The 17,817-nt window shown below is 37.2% G+C and overlaps 1 protein-coding gene across 18 annotated transcripts in view; it reads right to left on the bottom strand.

Moving 5' to 3' along the window:
* Positions 1–17,817, bottom strand: part of NPNT (nephronectin) — a 76,201-nt gene that overhangs the window by 16,714 nt on the left and 41,670 nt on the right. For all 18 annotated transcript variants that reach the window (XM_011531820.3, XM_017007984.2, XM_011531823.3 and 15 more), the window contains 4 exons: positions 16,538–16,657; positions 14,749–14,883; positions 14,322–14,444; positions 12,256–12,651 (listed from right to left, as the gene is read on the bottom strand). In XM_011531820.3, the coding sequence (XP_011530122.1) occupies positions 12,256–12,651; positions 14,322–14,444; positions 14,749–14,883; positions 16,538–16,657 (774 nt within the window). The remainder of the gene's footprint in view (positions 1–12,255; positions 12,652–14,321; positions 14,445–14,748; positions 14,884–16,537; positions 16,658–17,817) is intronic.

The raw sequence follows: 17,817 nt of genomic DNA, 5'->3' as shown, positions 1-17,817 counted from the left end.
TATAAAGCATTGGGCATACTCTTGCCTTCATGGGATCTACATTCTAGAAGTGAAGGCAGATTTTTAACAATTTCCCCAGGTAATGTGTGCTTTAAAGAAGCAGAGGATGCTAGTGAGTACGGGAGTGGGGAGTGAGGGACTGGCTAAGCTAGGCTGGGGAGGATACACGTCATAAAAATCTCTGAGAAGTGATGCTTTCTCTATGACATAAGAAGAAGTACTATGAGCTATGGCTCTGGAGAATGAAAAGAGAGGGGACTGAAACATCAGAATTGCTGTAGACCTTACAGGGGGAGGGAGGCAGCAAGAAGGTGCAGGAGGAAGGGCATCAAATGGAATTGGAGATAGAGGCAGAGTGTGCAGGAGCTTTTAAAGCCTTGTAAATATTTTGGACGTTATCCTGGTGGAAACTGGCGGCCTCTGAAGGATTAACAGAGGATTGCCAAGATCAGGTTTGCATGCTGAAATGACCATTCTGGTAGTAGCTTGGAGAATGAACAGGAAGAAGGTGAGAGTGGGTGTCATAGGGGAATTATGACTAAAATTAACATCAACCATGAATGTTCATATATTTTTAGAAAATGTCCCCAGAATCTTTATACCATTGGTCCATGTTTTACCCACCAAAAGATATGTCTTGCCTGTTGCTTCTTACAGCCTTCTGCATAAACTAAAAGAAAGGGAATGTACAGGTACTGAAGCAAGTGACAGCTGGATAAAGGCATGGTTGGACTGGGCTGAGGAGCACAGTACTTTCTAATGGCTACTGGGCCCTGGAGTCAGGGGTAAAATCAGCCACAAAAAGGAGCAGGAAAGTTCTTGTAAGAAATGCTGGCCAGGCACTTTCTACTAAATATGTATTTTCCCCAGGGATGTGATCATATATAACCTGTGTTCACAAATGAAGTTTCCCAAATAGTCAATTGCATATTTTTACCCAGAAAACATTAACAGTAAGCACAGAGAAGTAAATGTAAATATTATCATATACACCTCCCACTGCTCAACTTCTTGCCAAGAGTAACTATAGCAAAATGTAAGCATTATTTAGTAAAGGTAGGTTTGCAAATTCTCTTCCTGTTTCATAGGAAACAAGGTGGTTCCTATGGCATTACCCAGGCCAGTTCTGGCATTTGTTGTTGGACTAAATGATTAAAAATAACACTGTCTTAAATTACTTCTATGCTTAGGAGTTTAGTTCATTGAAGAGAATGGTACATATGTAATTATTCCAATATTCTGAAGGCTGTTTCTGGTGGCAAAACCTAGAGGCTTTTAGAGACACAGATTGGAGCGTAGGGATGAATGACAAGAGTTTTATGAGATGGTCTCTCCTCCTCTCCCTGTCTCTCTCTCCCCCTATTCTCTCTACAGATGCAGGACATATGCATCACAATTTTAAGTGATCAGAGAGAAAAGCAAATAAAAGGGCTGGAAATTAGTTTCTGAAATTTCTTTAACCATGTTAGAGAAAAGTTTTAGCCATCTATTCATTATAAGCCAAAAGAAAAGGGTTGTTGGACTCACAGAAATAAGACCTTGTTTGTCAAAGCTTTCATCCCATAGGAAGAATCTACAAAGTTCCACAGACACCTTTGGGCTGACAGTAAAGAGCAAAATTGGCAAAAAAGTTAAATCTCTGGTGAAAGGTGGAGCATAGACATTGCTAATCAACAATGAGCCCAATTTTTGTGACATACCTATTTCTCCTTTATGTATTGTAGGAACTTTTAATAAAGTTTTAGAAAGACTCAGAGACACTGCCCGGAGACAGGATAATTTTTTTTCTTTTGAGACAGAGTCTTGCTGTGTCACCCAGGCTGGAGTGCAGAGGCACGATCTTGGCTCACTACAATCTCTGCCTCCCGGGTTCAAGCAATTCTCCTGTCTCAGCCTCTCGAGTAGCTGGGATTCCAGGTGTGCACCACCACCCCTGGCTAATTTTTATATTTTTAGTAGAGACAGGGTTTCACCATGTTGGCCAGGCTGGTCTTGAACTCCTGACCTAGTGATCCACCTGCCTCGGCCTCCCCTTCTCCTCTCTTCTAAGCCAATGGTTCCCATGAAGGTTAGGCTCTGCCAGGAATGAGTCCTTCGCACCAGAATGCAAGTGGTAAGAAGACTCTCTGATAAGGGCTGCTTGGACTGAGTGCAGCATGAACACCGTCTAGGGTGAGCAGAAGCCCACCAGCTGTTGGGGACAGGTGTAAATGCACTCAAGCCAAAAGAATCTATTTAAAGAAAGAATGGAAGTTTTTATCCCATAGGAAGTCTGAATTAAAATAGGGTCTGAACTAAAATAACATAGAATGTTTATTTATGATGTAGATTTCTAAATCCTTTTGGTACATTTACTAAATCAGATTTTCTGGGGAAACTACTTGTCAGATTATTTTGTTTATTTTATTTTATTTTGGAGATAGAGTCTCGCTCTGCTGCCCAGGCTGGATGCACTCATCAGATCAATCATGTAAATTTCCCATCTAGACAGATTCATCTCTGAAAAGACTATTGTCATTATTTTCACAGTAAAGAAGTTGAGATGATGTGGTCTCTATTTTAAAATCACAACTGTCTAATGAGACTATAAACACCTAAATAAAACACAGTATTCTAAATATTTGGTAACAAGCCTAGAATAAAATCGCAAGTTTCTATTTTCATTTTTCTCTGTGCACCTAACAGCTCACACTTGCAAACCAATTTGTTTCAAAAGGATCTAGTTAGTTAAAAATAACATTAAAATTGTAATGAACCATAATAAAAAGCATGAGAAACATATAAACTCAGAACAAGAAAACAGCATAGGCTGTCTTTTTATGAATTAAGTAGGAAATGTTATCATTACTATATAAATGAATTCAACATCAATAGTAGCAGTAATAGCTAATATGTATTAAGTTATTACTACATGCCAAGCACTACAGTAAAAGTTTTATAGGTACCTCTGCACCTAATTCTCACAACAGCCCAATGAGGTAGATACTATTACTATCCCTGACTTACAGATAAGAAAACAAAGGCACAGGAAAATTTAATGATACGCCCCAAATTACAGACTGGCAATGAGGACAATACTTGTAAATTATAACTCTATTGACAAATGTGCATGTAACTTCAAAAAAAAATCTGACTTCTGACTTTGGTCACAATCACCAAGGGCCCATTTATACGTTTTGGAGAGAATGATATTTTCTTTACTAGCTACCATAGGATCTAATTAAAATATAAATCAAAAATCTTGAAAACTTTCAGAATTCACAGCAGCAGATCCTAACCTGTGAGAAGTGACAATTCGCTCCTTCAAAACACTAGCAGAAATTTAATTTTCAAGGAGATATCAGGCATCTTCTCAGGGTCTCTGCAGGTCTTACTGTTTACAAGAAAGCAAACTACTTTGAAGACCTTTTCACCCCTCAGCAGAAACAATCTTTTTACTTATCACTACACAGAATCAGAAAGACCATAATATTTCCATGACTAAGAACAATGTGACTGAACTAGCCACAGACTCTGTAAAATCTGTAGAAGAGAGATGAGGGGAAAAACCTCAGGACAACACGCAGCAATCAGTAAAAGAAAACAATTTTCTTCTTACTGCTTGGTACTTGGAATTGCAGCACAGTCTCATGTTGCGTAATAACAGCAACAATGAGGCTGGTTCTCTGATATGGCCACTCATAAGAGCACCTGATACATATTAATAACATTATGTTCTATAATCTGGCTTCTATTAACGCCTTTTCTTTTTATTTTACATGAGTCAGGTGGACACATGCCTAGGCACAATTGCTATATTTTAAATAGCCTACATTTGGCTAGTTCTGACTCCATCCAGAATATGGTTCTGCTGGGTTGGAGCTGCCATTATGCTTTAGAAAGAGCCCTGCTATCCAAAGTGGGGACTGCAGATCAGAAACATTACCTGTGTTTGTTAGAAATGCAGAGTCTCTGGTCCTACTCCAGACACACTCAGTCAGTCTTCAATTTAACGAGATCCCCTTGTAATTTGTGTACACATTAAAGACTGAGAACAGCCAGGCACAGTGCCTCACGCCTGTAATCGCAGCACTTTCGGTGGCTGAGGCAGGCAGATCGCTTGAGGCCAGAAATTCAAGACCAGCCTGGGCAACATGGTGAAACCCTGTCTCTATTAAAATAACCATGTGTTGCAGGGGAGCAGGAAAGGAGGGGGCTCTTCCTGACAGGTGCAGGTTGTCAGGCATTGGAACCCTACTGGGTCTGTCATGTTCACATCCAGCTCACCGCTGGTTGAATAAAAGGTTGAGTGTTGGGGACTAAGTGTGCCTACTCAGATGTGAATCCCTGTCTCTATTAAAATTACAAAAAAAATTAGCTGGGTGTGGTGGTGCACGCCTGTAATCCCAGCTACTCAGGAGACTGAGGCACAATAATCACTTAGGTTGCAGTGAGCCAAGATTGTGCCACTGCACTCCAGTCTGGGTAAAAGAGTGAGCCTGTGTCTCAAAAAATAAATAAATAAATAATAAATAAATAAAGATAAAGACTGAGAGATACTTTCCCTAGTAAGTCTGATTTAGTAAATGTGTCATAAGGATTAGGAATCTACATCTTAAGATAAGCATAAAATAACTATGTTATTTTAGTTAATAAACATCCTATGTTATTTTAGTTAAAATGGGCTTCTGACAACACTGGGGAAAAAAAATCTGTTTCCTGGTCCAAGTGATGTTATATTCCCTCTCGTAATACAAATTTCCTAGCTAAAATTGGACATAGCTATCACATTCAATTGTAAAGGAAAATCTGAAAGGTTAAAAATAGAAGTTAATAAAACCTTCAATGAATTTTTAAAACTCAGTATGTCCAAAATAAAATAAACATGATTAAGAATCAGAATCCTCACTTTCCTGCTGAGAAGAGTGGGGTTCTGTTACTCTGCCCCCTCTCTGAAGGAATTAATGATATAATGAATTACTGTTATCAACGATAGTACAGTTGAACAGTTTAAAAATTACTGGATAAAGACAACAAAAAGACAATGAAAATCGCCCAAAATATCATAAACAGGATATACTCATGGTTACTATTTTGGTCTTTTTTCTTTCAGACTTTTACACACATCCAGACATATGCAGACATGTATTTTATATCTAATTGGAGTCAAATGGCAGGTACAGCTTTGTACTTTTCAGGTAACATTTTTGTAACATGGGTATTTTCCAAAATTATTAAATATTTTCCATAAAACATGTTTAATAGTTATATAAGATTTCATTATATATTGCTAGAACAGAAAGCATGTCCCCCTAACTTCCTTTACTTTGGGTTCTGCAGAAAGTTTTTCTGAGTTTCTTTGCCCTGGGATTGCTCCTACCCCTGTGACACCAGAGTTTTGTCTTTGAAAAGTGGCTTTTTAACAATCCCCTGCAGCAAACCTATGGTGTCCATACAGGCATACCACCACTTATAGCTGCTTTTCTGGCTAAGTTTGTGCAGCACCTTTCTGCCCTCCCCAACCCTCATTCCTAAATCCAAGATCAACCCATTAGTCTCAAAAACCAGGCAACGAGAGCTAACTAGTGAGGGATACTGGGTTTTGTGGAGTATGGTCTCCATACTTCCTAGTTTAGCCCAGCCTGACCTAAAGTTGATTCCAGTAAACTCTAATCCCAAGATTCAAATAATCCCATGGTTAAAACAACTTGGGAAAAGATACATTACATGCCTCTCTTAGAGATTTGCAATATTGTTAGCACATTGGAGTATTGAGAAGTCCTACAGTTAAGAAACCTATTTAACTTAGCTAAACCTAGGAGTTCTTAAATGTATTTGACCTAAGAACTTTTTAACACATACAACTGTGTAATATTTCAGAGAAATAATGCTCTATAAAACACACTTTGAGAAGCACAAGTCTGTCTCATTAATGAAACAACAAGAATTTTACGCTACATCAGATAACTTTAGTGTTGCTCAAATCATGCCCACCGGATTAGCCCTGTAAATACATCTTATTATATTTCTAGTCATATAACCTAAAAAAACCTAGGGTCCCTCAAGCTAAAATTGTTTTTAGGCTGGGTGCAGTGGTTCATGCCTAGAATCCCAGCACTTGGGGAGGCCAAGGTGGGAGGATTCCTTGAGCTCAGGAGTTGGAGACCAGCCTGGGCAACACAGTAAGAATTTGTATCCACAAAAAATAAAAATAAATAGCCACCCAGCTACTTGGGAGGCTGAGGCAGGAGGATTGCTTGAGCCTGAGAGATTGAAGCTGCAGCAGCCTGGGTGACAGAGTGAGACTCTGTCTCAAAAAAATTATTTTAAAAATAAGTTTAATATTTCACATCACACATAAAAAGTTGCAACCTTAAATCACATAAGTTCTCCCCATCAAGGTTATTTACAGTGATAAACAAAACACATTAATCTTTTACATTTCATAGTAACTCAGAATTCACAAACACTAGATCCCTTATCTCTGATCTTTGAAGCTACTCAGTGAGAAAGGATAGCTGGGAATATTCCCTCAATTTTACAGATGAAAAAATTGAGGTGGAAAGCACAGTAACTCTTCCAAAGTGATGTACCTCATAAATACTCATACTAGTCCAAAGTCATGTACCTCATAAATAGAGGTAGAAATCAAGACTAGGTTTTCTGGTTCAGTATATTCTATCTTTAGTAGTGGTTAAAACCCCTTAATTCCAAATGTTTCAATGCTATTTTCATATTCCTTTTCTATGCTTTTCACTATTTTTCAGTGTCATGCTTAAAATTTAGAAGTATATTAGACTTAGAATTTTCTAGAGAATATTTTCAATGGCTATATTAAGCTGTATCAGGATAAGAAAAAAAACCATAATCTGAATTAACTTTGATTATTTGGGGAAGGAATATCAGAACCAACAAGTAAAATTTAGCTAGTTAAGCATATGAAGGATTACTTAGAATGAAAAAAATTAAATCCAATATAAAATTCCATTTCATTCCATTCAACAAATATTTTTGACTGCCCACTATGTGGCCATTTGAGGAAAAAACATCTGGAGATTAAATAGCTGCCCATAAATCTCTACTTTGCAACAAAGAGAAATGATTTAGATTACAAAACATGTTAAAAGAAACCCCCCCGTGATCAGTATTGGGTCAGATTTGACTATTATATATCTTTGACTCGATCATTTGTGACAGATTTGGAAAATAAAGAATGTTCAAAGGACCAGTCAACAAGATTGCTAAGTGGGTTGAAAAAAAGCATTTCTAAGAAAAGATTAATAAAATATAAATTATTGGGCCCAGCGAAGAGTGAGTCATCTCCTGAAAGTGTCTTTGAGTACATGGAGTATGGGATCTGGAGACAATGAACAACTGTGTCCATTAACCCTGAGTATCTGACAATATTAAAAATGCATAAACTGTAGTTTCATAAATTTAGGTTAAATATAAGGAAAAATGCTCCAGTGGTGGGATGAGTGTTGTGGGAAGTCAGGGACCCCGAATGGAGGGACCAGCTGGAGCTGCAGCAGAGGAACATAAATTGTGAAGATTTCATGGACATTTATCAGTTCCCAAATAATACTCTTATAATTTCTTATACCAGTCTTACTTTAATCTCTTAATCGTATTATCTTCTTAAACTGAGGATGTATGTCACCTCAGGACCACTATAATTGTGTTAACTGTACAAATTGGTTGTAAAACGTGTGTTTGAACAATATGAAATCAGTACACCTTGAAAAAGAACACAATAACAGCGATTTTAGGGAACAAGGGAAGACAACCATAAGGTCTGACTGCCTGCGGGATCAGGCAAAATACAGCCATATTTTTCTTCTTGCAAAGAGCCTATAAACAGATGTGCAAGTAGGATAATATTGCTAAATTCTTTTCCTAGCAAGGAATAATAATAATTAATACCCTGGGAAAGGAATGCATTCCTGGTGGAGGTCTATAAACAGCTGCTCTGGGAGTGTCTGTCTCATGCGGTTGAGATAATGACTGAAATATGCCCTGGTCTCTTGCAGTACCCTCAGGCTTACTAGGATTGGGAAACTCCACCTTGGTAGGTTTGAGGTCAGACCAGTTCTCTGCTCTCGAACCTGTTTTCTGTTGTTTAAGATGTTTATCAAGACAATACGTGCACCACTAAACATAGACCCTTATCAGTAATTCTGCTTTTGCCCTTTGCCTTGTGATCTTTGCTGGACCCTTATCAGGAGTTTGTGATTTTGCCCTTGTCCTGTTTCCTCAGAAGCATGTGATCTTTGTTCTCCTTTTTGCCCTTTGAAGCATGTGATCTTGCGACCCACTCCCTGTTCTTGTACCCCCTACCCTTTTGAAATCCTTAATAAAACTTGCTGGTTTTGCAGGTCAGGTAGGCATCACGGTCCTACTGATATGTGATGTCATCCCCGTAGACCCAGCTGTAAAATTCCTCTCTTCGTACTCTTTCTCTTTATTTCTCAGCCAGCGGACACTTATGGAAAATAGAAAGAACCTATGTTAAAATATTGGGGGCGGGTTCCCCTGATAGATGAGTTATTAGAAGGGACTTCAGTCACCTTTGGAGATGCTGGATATAATTGGGAGGACTTAACAAAGACCTCCTAAGGATATCACACTTAGATAATTAATGTTGGTTTAGATGAAAATTTTTAAGCCCCATATTAAAATACCAAAGCTCATTATAACTACCATATCTAACCAACTGCTTAAAGTTTAAATAACTTTTCTGTTTTGTACCCCTTTCTTTTGGAAGTAGCAAATGGACAAAAACTGCAGTGTCAATGGTACTTTGTTTATACTTACAGGAAACATTGTTTTAAGGCATAGGAAGATATAATAATATGCCCCAGATCACAGACTGGCTATGAGCACAATACTTTTAATTATAACTCTATAGACAAATGTACACGTAACTTTAAAAAAATCTGATTTCTGGTTTTGCTCACATTTGCCAAGAGCTCAATTTATACTTTCTAGAGATAACTACTTTTTTCTTTAATAATCATCATAGGATCCAATTAAAATATAAGTAAAAAATTTGCCTTAAATCTTGCTAACATTAAAAAATTTGTGCAAGCTAGTAAATATATGCTGTGAGACATCATCTCTGAGTTAATATCATTTTCCTTTCCTTAACATTGATATGTTCACAGTAAAAGCACTAGAGGAAAATCAGTATGTTTCACTACTTCAGTGTGTACTATATAGTATGTGTACCTTACTGATTTTCTAAAATCTAAAAAATGCTATATTCCATAAGTTATTTGGATAAAGGATTTTGGGCCTGTATTCCAGGGGAGAGATGGCTTGGGCCAGGGTGGTAGCACTGGAGTTGGTGAGAAAAGGTCACACTTAAATATAATTTGAAGGTACAGCTAACAGGATTTCCTTACATATTGACTGTATGTATGAAGAGTAATTAAGGATGAATCCACATTATTAGACCTTAGCAACAGGTGATAGAGGTCCCATTACCTGGGATAAGAAAGGCTGAGAGTAGAGGATGTTTAAGGGAAGAAAAGGAACAATTCTATACATGTTGAGTTTGAGACGTCTATTTTCATCCAACTGGATAGGTTAAGCAGTCAGCTGACATCCAGGTCTAGAGTTTGGGGGAGAGGTCTGGGCTGAAGATGTGTTCTTGTTATAATATTTTTCTTCCTTGATTTTCTTTTAGAATATCTTTACAGTCTTTTCTCAGGGCAACAACGCACATACATTATAAGGAAAAGCTCTCTTTCACAACCTCTTCCATTAAAAGAAATCTTTCATACCCCATAAATATATTGTTATTATCTGTCAATTAAAAATCAATTTAAAAATATCTTTCAATGTAAAGAAAAACACAAAGTGGAGGGCTATTTGAAGGAGACTGCCAAATAGTGGCCATAATTAACATCACCTAAAAATTTATGAAATGAGGTGAGCTAAATTCTATTCTCAGACCTGTCTCGGAGAATAAGGATGATTTAAGAAGTTATGCCAGAAGTGAAGAAAATATTCAGTAAAGAAATGGTGTTGAACTGAAATAGTGCTAAGGTTCCTTAATGTTTTCACAGTGAATAGACACTGGTTATTTGTCCTGAATTAAAAACTTAGAGCCTTTGCCTTATTTAGAATATATGCTATAACCACAAGACAGCAAGTCAAAAAGCATCTAAAGCATTCTCACACATGCTAGACTTAATAAGCAGCTATCGCTGAAGATGAAATGAGAGTGGAATTTAATTTTTGGCAGGAGTTTCTAAAGGCAGCAATGCTATCTGTGGCATGCAACAGCCTTGGCATTTGATCAAGGCAATGCTTTCCCAGAGCATGTCTTTAAGATCACACTCTCTTATAATGAATGCTCCCAAACATCATTGGAACTCTGTATTTCCCCAATTTTATTGCACTAAATTTTATTGGTGAACTTCAATGTCATTTTTAATTCATATATGTATTGGCATAGAGAGGAATACTGGAAATAAAGAGAAACATTTTAAAAAGAGAAAGGATTTTTTAAAATTCTCAGAAAGATGTATTCTTTCATCATAATGAAAAAAATATTTAGCGTATCATCTTACATTAAATAGCCAAATTTCCCTGTTATCCTAAGGCAGCAAAATAATGTAAATACCATAATTACTTAAGCACTCATAAATTAAAAATCCCATTGTATGATCACAATGATGAGAATTTAAAAAGGAGAGTAATAGGGAGAAAAAGACAGTATCTGAGATGGAGAGAGGGGGTGAGGAGAAAATTACAAAAACATAAATTTCAGAAAATAGTTATGCACATATAAAATGTATATTTTGAGAGCTACCATCTAATTCCCCTAAAAATTATATTGATTATCCAAAACATACATGACTATATCAGAATTAGAGAATTTCCATCTTTCTTTAAATGGACAATTACCCAGAGGAGAAAATTTAATTGAGAGTCACATACAAGCAAAATGCGGCTCTGATATCCCCTTTATTAGTTTATTTATTTATTCATTTTTTTGAGATGGTGTCCCACCCTGTCACCCAGGCTGCAGTGCAGTGGCACAGTCACAGCTTACTGCAGCCTCAACCTCCTAGGCTCAAGCGATCGGTCTGCCTCAGCCTCCCAATTTTCCCCTTTAAAGAATAATAAATGTCAGTATTTTTTTCACCTGATAAAAAGTTATAAAGGTATTCAATATAAAAGGCACAAACTTTAGCTTCATCATAGAGGAATGAGAAAAGGAACAAAACAAACTGGTAATGTATAAAGGAGGAGACAGGAAGAGTGAATGCAAAGGTAATTAAGAATAAGCGAAGTGACACAGGACAAGCAGATAAATATGAGGAACAGATGAAAGTTATAACATGCAAATTTTGGTCTGGTAATAAATTAACAACCTTTTCCTCCTTCAGAACTTGCTTCTCTTCCTGAATCCTCTATCTCCATTGGTGGTGCTACCCTTTACCTAGTCACCTGCTAAGAATCTGGGAGTCTTTGATCTAATCCAGCCCCAGTGTAGGTCTAACTATCAGTTTACAGCAATCCAAGGGGTAGCTGTCCAGCTTCTCTCATCTGTCCCTGACATGACCCTCCAATTTACTGGCAGTCTACTGCCTATTACACTGCTTCCTACTTCTTTGCATTTGTTGGGCTGTCCCTGTTAACTATAATATCTTCCTTTCCTCATCCACTTTGCTCCGTTTCACTCGGGAAGCCCTCCCTGAATATTCCCTACCCAAAGACTGACGAGGTATCCCTTCATTCTCCTCTCATAGTGTCCTACACAGATCTCTTTCACTAACATACTACCACTGGTATCTTCTGAGTAACCATCTTTCCCACCAGACTGTGACCTTTTCTGTTTTATCTTTACATGAACCCAATAACTAATACAAGGCCTTCTTGACACTCTAAAGACATTCAAAAATGTTCACTGACTGAATGAATGAAGGGTTAGATTAAAAGTAACATAGCATGGAATACAGTTAAGTTCCCACCTCTGAGAGTTTTCAAGTAAATCCAACTATGTCAGAATTCCCATACTGGCTAAGAGCTGTCATCTACCATATGACTTTGTGAATATTCCTTCCATTGCTACATACATTCTTTCTTACTTGCCCAATTAGACTGACTCTTTATGTAGCTCTTTATAATATTTGTCAATAGGGACATACGACTTTACATAGCTAGTTCTTCTTACGAGTTTCATTCTTATTCAAGGCATGGCCTGTGGTTGAAAAGTCATTATAAAGAGCCTATTGAAAATGTGCTAACATTTATTAGACTTACTGAACACATCTCCTCTGGGTTTCTGAGGGTCTGTCTGTACCCTGTTGTCAACTGTAATCCCTCCTGGAGGTGTACTGGCAGCTGGTGCTATAGTTGTCAGTCCGGTGGTTGGCCTTTCTGGGGTTGTAGGTGGTAGAGGTGTTCTGAGCTCTGTTGGCAGGGGTGGTGGTGGTGGTGGAGTAGGAATTGGTGTTGGCTTTGGTGTAGGTCTTGTTGTTGGCTTAGAAGTAGGCCTGTTGGTAATGATAGGAGGAATATATGGTGTCTTCGGAGGCCACCAAGTACTTCCAACATCAGGAATCCAATTATTATTTCCTGTGTCACCCTTTAAAATGGTACCATTTCCCTTTGGTACATGAATTGGACCTGAAGGTTCAATCATAACTTTTGGGATATCTGAAAGAGTCAAAGACTTAAATCAGTATGTAACCATTCCTCCCTAAAAAGTGAAGCATTACACTGACAGACATAAAAACATCTAATGACAACTGGTATCATTTTTCACATTTAGAATATTACCTACTGTAAGTCATACTATTTTCCAAATAACAAATATATATGTGTGTATATATATATATATATATATACACACACACAGACACACACATATATATTCATATATTCATCCTTTGGATGTATGTAACAAATATATTGGTGTGTTTAAATAATTTATATGTATTATTTGCAACATAAAAACATTTTAAATATTTGTGCAGTGCAAACAGACAACAACCAATGAGAATTTTTAAAATGCAGAGACATTCTAAGTTTTTTTAATATAAGAAATGCATAGTTAGAATCTACGTTGTATCCCTATGCTACGTGTATATTATAAAATTGTGTTCAGAATTGTCTAAAGACAAATACTTTTCTTATCCACACTTTATATAAATTCAATTTGCATAAATACAGCTTGAGTAAATGTTCTACATATTGTTTTATGGTCGGTTTTTATTTCCCTTTACTGATAGATACAACTGCTTTTAAATAGACATTTTCAGAGGTTGCAAAGATCATCTGTGAAATCTTTTTCCTTGATAATCTTCATCAAAAAGAATCAATATTTAATCTGCCTGAATGATACATTCCAGACTGGGAATGACTACATGACTCTTTAAAAACCCTTTAATCCTCATGATTTTATGCACCATGGTTTTCAGTAAATATTTTACGGAGGAAATTTAAAAAATTATCTTCTGTTACATGAAATGTATGTTAAATTATGACTTTTGGGTTTTTTTCATGTTTATCTATTACATAACCACTACTCCAAATAAAACTTATAAAAATTTTAAAAGCAAAACAGTTCTGAATGTAGAGGAAATAAATATGGGAATGGCTTTTTTTTTCTTTTGAGACAGGTCTCGCTCTCTTGCCCAAGCTGGAGTGCAGTGGCATGGTCAGAGCTCACTGGGCTCATGGCAGTCTTAAGATCCCAGGCTCAAGTGATCCTAGCACCTCATCCTCCTGAGTAGCTGGGACTACAGGTATGCGCACTGCAGCTGGCTAATTTCTAAATTTTTTTTTGTAGAGACAGGGTCTCATTATGTTGCCCAGGCTGCTCTTGAACTCCTACCCTCAAACAATCCTGCTGCTATGGCCTCCGAAAGTGCTAGGATTACAGGCATGAGCCACTGTGCCTGGCCGGGAATGATTTTTTAATAGCAGAGTTAGGAGCAATAAAACAGAGGGAAAAAAATGTAGAATATATCCAGATTATCCCACCATCAAAATCTAACGCTAATGGCAAACATGATTTCTAATTTTAACAAAAGCAAATTCTCAGGGAGGACTCAATAATTTCTTTTTAGCTAAAAAGAAAATATTGAGAGATTTCAGTGAAGAGATTAAAATACTCTTAAGATTATAGTGTATTACTGAGTCCTTAGTTTTTACAAGTACCTGAGCAAGTGATTTTATTGTTTGTGGAAATCAAAGACAAATATAACCAATTATGACAATTATACTTCTTTGATAATCTTATTCCTTATTTTCCCTAGCAATGGCCTTTGTGTAATCCTGTATTTCCTGCTAGAATTTAAAGCTGAGAGACAAGTGCTACTCACACACACAAGTCAGTCCATCACCCTGGTATCCTTCTTTACATTTGCACTTGTAGGACCCACGTATGTTATAACATCGAGCAAAGCTGCTGCACTGATACTGACCAAGTGAGCATTCGTCTATGTCTGCATCAGAAAGTAGGAAAAGAAGAGACTTATTTAGGAGATAAATATGATGACATAAAAAATATATACAGTTTCAAAAATGATTTTTTTTGGCAATGTGATGATCTACATAATATTGGCAGATAAACAGAAGAAATAAACTACATGTAGACTGAGAACTACCAGTGGTTAAACTGGATGTCTGTTGGTTTAACTTAACGCCAGTACTCTCCCCTGCCCCTGACATTCCAGCCATCACCACAATTACGAGACCTTTCAGTGCTCTAGGAAGAAACAACACAAAGCAATGGTTGGGTTTCATTACCATGACATTGATATTTGCCTCCAATATACATGAGATCGAAGCCTTTATGACACTTGCAGATGTAGCTCCCAAAAGTGTTGACACATTGCCTAAATCTAGGGCAGGAGGCTCTTCCTGTAGCACATTCATCAACATCTAGAAACATAAGTCAATAGCATTTTAGGAAGAGCAAGGGTATGTTAAGACAGAGTGGGTTTCAAAATAAATAACTGACTACAAATGGTTGCCTAGCATATAGTGGCTCATCATAAACGGTATCTAGCTGGTTGTCCCTACAGGCAACATAAATTCCACATATCCAAATTTCAACCCAGCCTTCTAAGCCAAGTTATTATTTTCTTGCACTCTATATATTAGCACATACTGCACCTGTATCTACCAAGTTGCTTAAACTAGAAACATGAGTCATTCTTGAATTAGAAACAACCCTCTTTCCTTTAACTCCCATATCATCAAGTCCAGTTAATTCTACCTCTAAAAAAAAGTATTTGAATCTGTCTACTTTTCTCTTAATCCACCACCACTACCCTATTTGAAGCCACCATCTCTTGGGTTAGACTGTTACAAAAGCCTCAAAACAGTTCCTTTTGCTGTTACTTACCCCCTCCAAAGCATATCCAACCCAACTGTCAAAATGATTCCATTAAAACATACAATCAAATCATTACTGTGCTCAAAATCTTTTAACTATTTCTACTTGCACTTTGAATTAAATCCACATTCCTCCCCTGTGTCCTTGAAGGCCCTGCAACAAATCACCCTCACCTACTTCACCCATTATATCTCCAGCCACCACCCCTCATACTCACACCCTGTACTTGAGCTACATGGACCTTCTTCCTTGAAAAACCTCACACAGGCCAACCTCTCTCTCACCGCAGTGCCCTGCAATGTCTTCAGCTGCTTGGCTGTTTCTTCACATGGCTAATGATACAGGTCTTACCTTAAGGCTAATAGACACATTCTGTTTTTCTCTCAGTACCTCATGTTAACACTTGGCATTGTCTGTAATTTTATGGGGTATTTGTTTCTTTTCTGTCTCCCCCATTAGCATGTCAGCTTTGTGGGGATCAAAATCTTGTGTGCTTAGGCCACTGCTATATATCCTAGCACTCAGCACAGTGTCTGGAGTATAGAAATTACTCAGTAAATAACTCTAATCACCAAACACTTCCATTCATTCAAGGCTTATTACATGCTAGGTATTGTGCTAAGCTCTTTGCATCCATGATCTCATTCAATCTTCCTACCAGTTCTATGTGGTATTATTTCCATTTTAAAGATAAGAAGACCCAAGCTCAAAGCAACAAAGTCTCTTGCCTAAGGTTACATATCTAGTACATGGAAGAGCCAGGTTTAAAACCAAAGTCCAGACTCTCAATCCTACACTGCCTTCCTAATTTACCAGAAAAAAATCTGAGGCCTGAAGAACAACACATACAATCTAGCTATTCAGCTTCATCACTCATTGCTCACCCTTGCCGCTTACATTCTAGGAATACTGAGCTCTTCTCGTTTCCCTAAACATTGTGCTCCTCTGAACTGCAGTGTCTTTGCACATAGGGTTCCCTCTGCCTGAGGCCTCCTCCTATTTCTCATTTTTTAAAAAACAACGCTCCCATTATCCATTCACAGAGATGTCCTCTTCTGAGACATCTGATATCTTCTGAACGATAGCTAATTATCTGATGTAAGTAATTGCCTTTTTTTTCCTTATTCCCATCACCTTTCACTTTCTCCCTTTATCCTACAGAGGCTGCTGACAGAGATGCTTGATTTTACAACTCACCTACACAGGTCCTCCCATCAGGAGCCAGCTGCAGGCCAGGGGATGGGCACTGGCACCGTATTTGTCCTTTAACAACATCACAGCCATACTGACAGTTTGCCATGGAGCAGGTCAGGGCACCTGGAAAGAGAGTGACTGGCTGACTCAGACAGGTAGAAAACAAAATCTGTAATGGAAATAGCTATGTTTTTTCACTTGTCCTGAAATCAGTGACACTGAACAACAATGAAGACAAAGAGGCCTTAACTATCAAACATCTAAAGAAAATAAAAGGGGGAAGGAAAGAAAGCATTAAAAGACAAATATAAAACTATCATATATAGATTATCTGGAAATTTTTCCAGTGGCCAAGGAAAGTGAAGAATTGAGGTATTTTTCCAGATTACTCAAGCTAAACGCTATTCTTAACTAATCATCCAAGTAACTGTCTCAAATGCCCATGAAATTTCTCTAGGGGAACAGCAGATTTCCCATTGAGTTGCACAATGTTAAACATGTATTCACCTAATTCCAAAAAGTTCCATGCTATACTTATGCAATGTTAAATAAAATTAGCTAACTTTATTTTATGCAACTCAGTTAAATGATAATTCAGTAAAAATAAAAATCAAGTCATTAATTGTCAGATATCATATGAATACCACAATTCAGGAGTCAGCCTATAGAGAATTTTAGGGCATAGTCCATTTTTTACATCCAAATGATGGTGAAAACATGCATTTCTTCCTTATAAACATGAATCCTACTTTTCTGGTATCATATTCATTTATTTTTTATTTGAAATTGTTTTTTAGAAGTCTTAGACTATTATTAGAGTCTAAAATTCTATAAAAGCCTAAAGGCTTTTATAATGAAATATAAAAATGAAGAAAATATTTATGAATGATTTAAAATTACAAAACAGACCTGATGGATTCTGTCTGAGCAGTCCCTAAATAGTCAGTAGTGTTCTTTTTTTTTTTTTTTTAGCCTGGAATCATTCTTCTATGCCCAGATAGAAGACATGGGTAAACATGTTTAAAAAAAAAATTAGAAAACATACTTAGTTTTGTAATTCTTATTCTAAACACCATTTCCTAATCAATTTAATATTGGCACCCGTGATAGAAGAGTATTATACATCGAAAATGGTGCCTCTTATTTTGATTTTCAATTCCTCAGGCAAAAGTATAAACACACGCACACATCTTGTTTAGGAGAACCCCGGAGGCCATTTTCACAAAAGCAAGCTCTCAGAGCACAACAGAAACAAGCCCAAAGCACTTATAAAACAGTTAAGA

Source organism: Homo sapiens, chromosome 4 (genome assembly GCF_000001405.40).
Source record: "Homo sapiens chromosome 4, GRCh38.p14 Primary Assembly".
NCBI classification, from domain to species: Eukaryota; Metazoa; Chordata; class Mammalia; order Primates; family Hominidae; genus Homo; species Homo sapiens.
The sequence above is the reverse complement of the archived record's forward strand: the minus strand, read 5'-3'. Positions and strand labels throughout refer to the sequence as shown.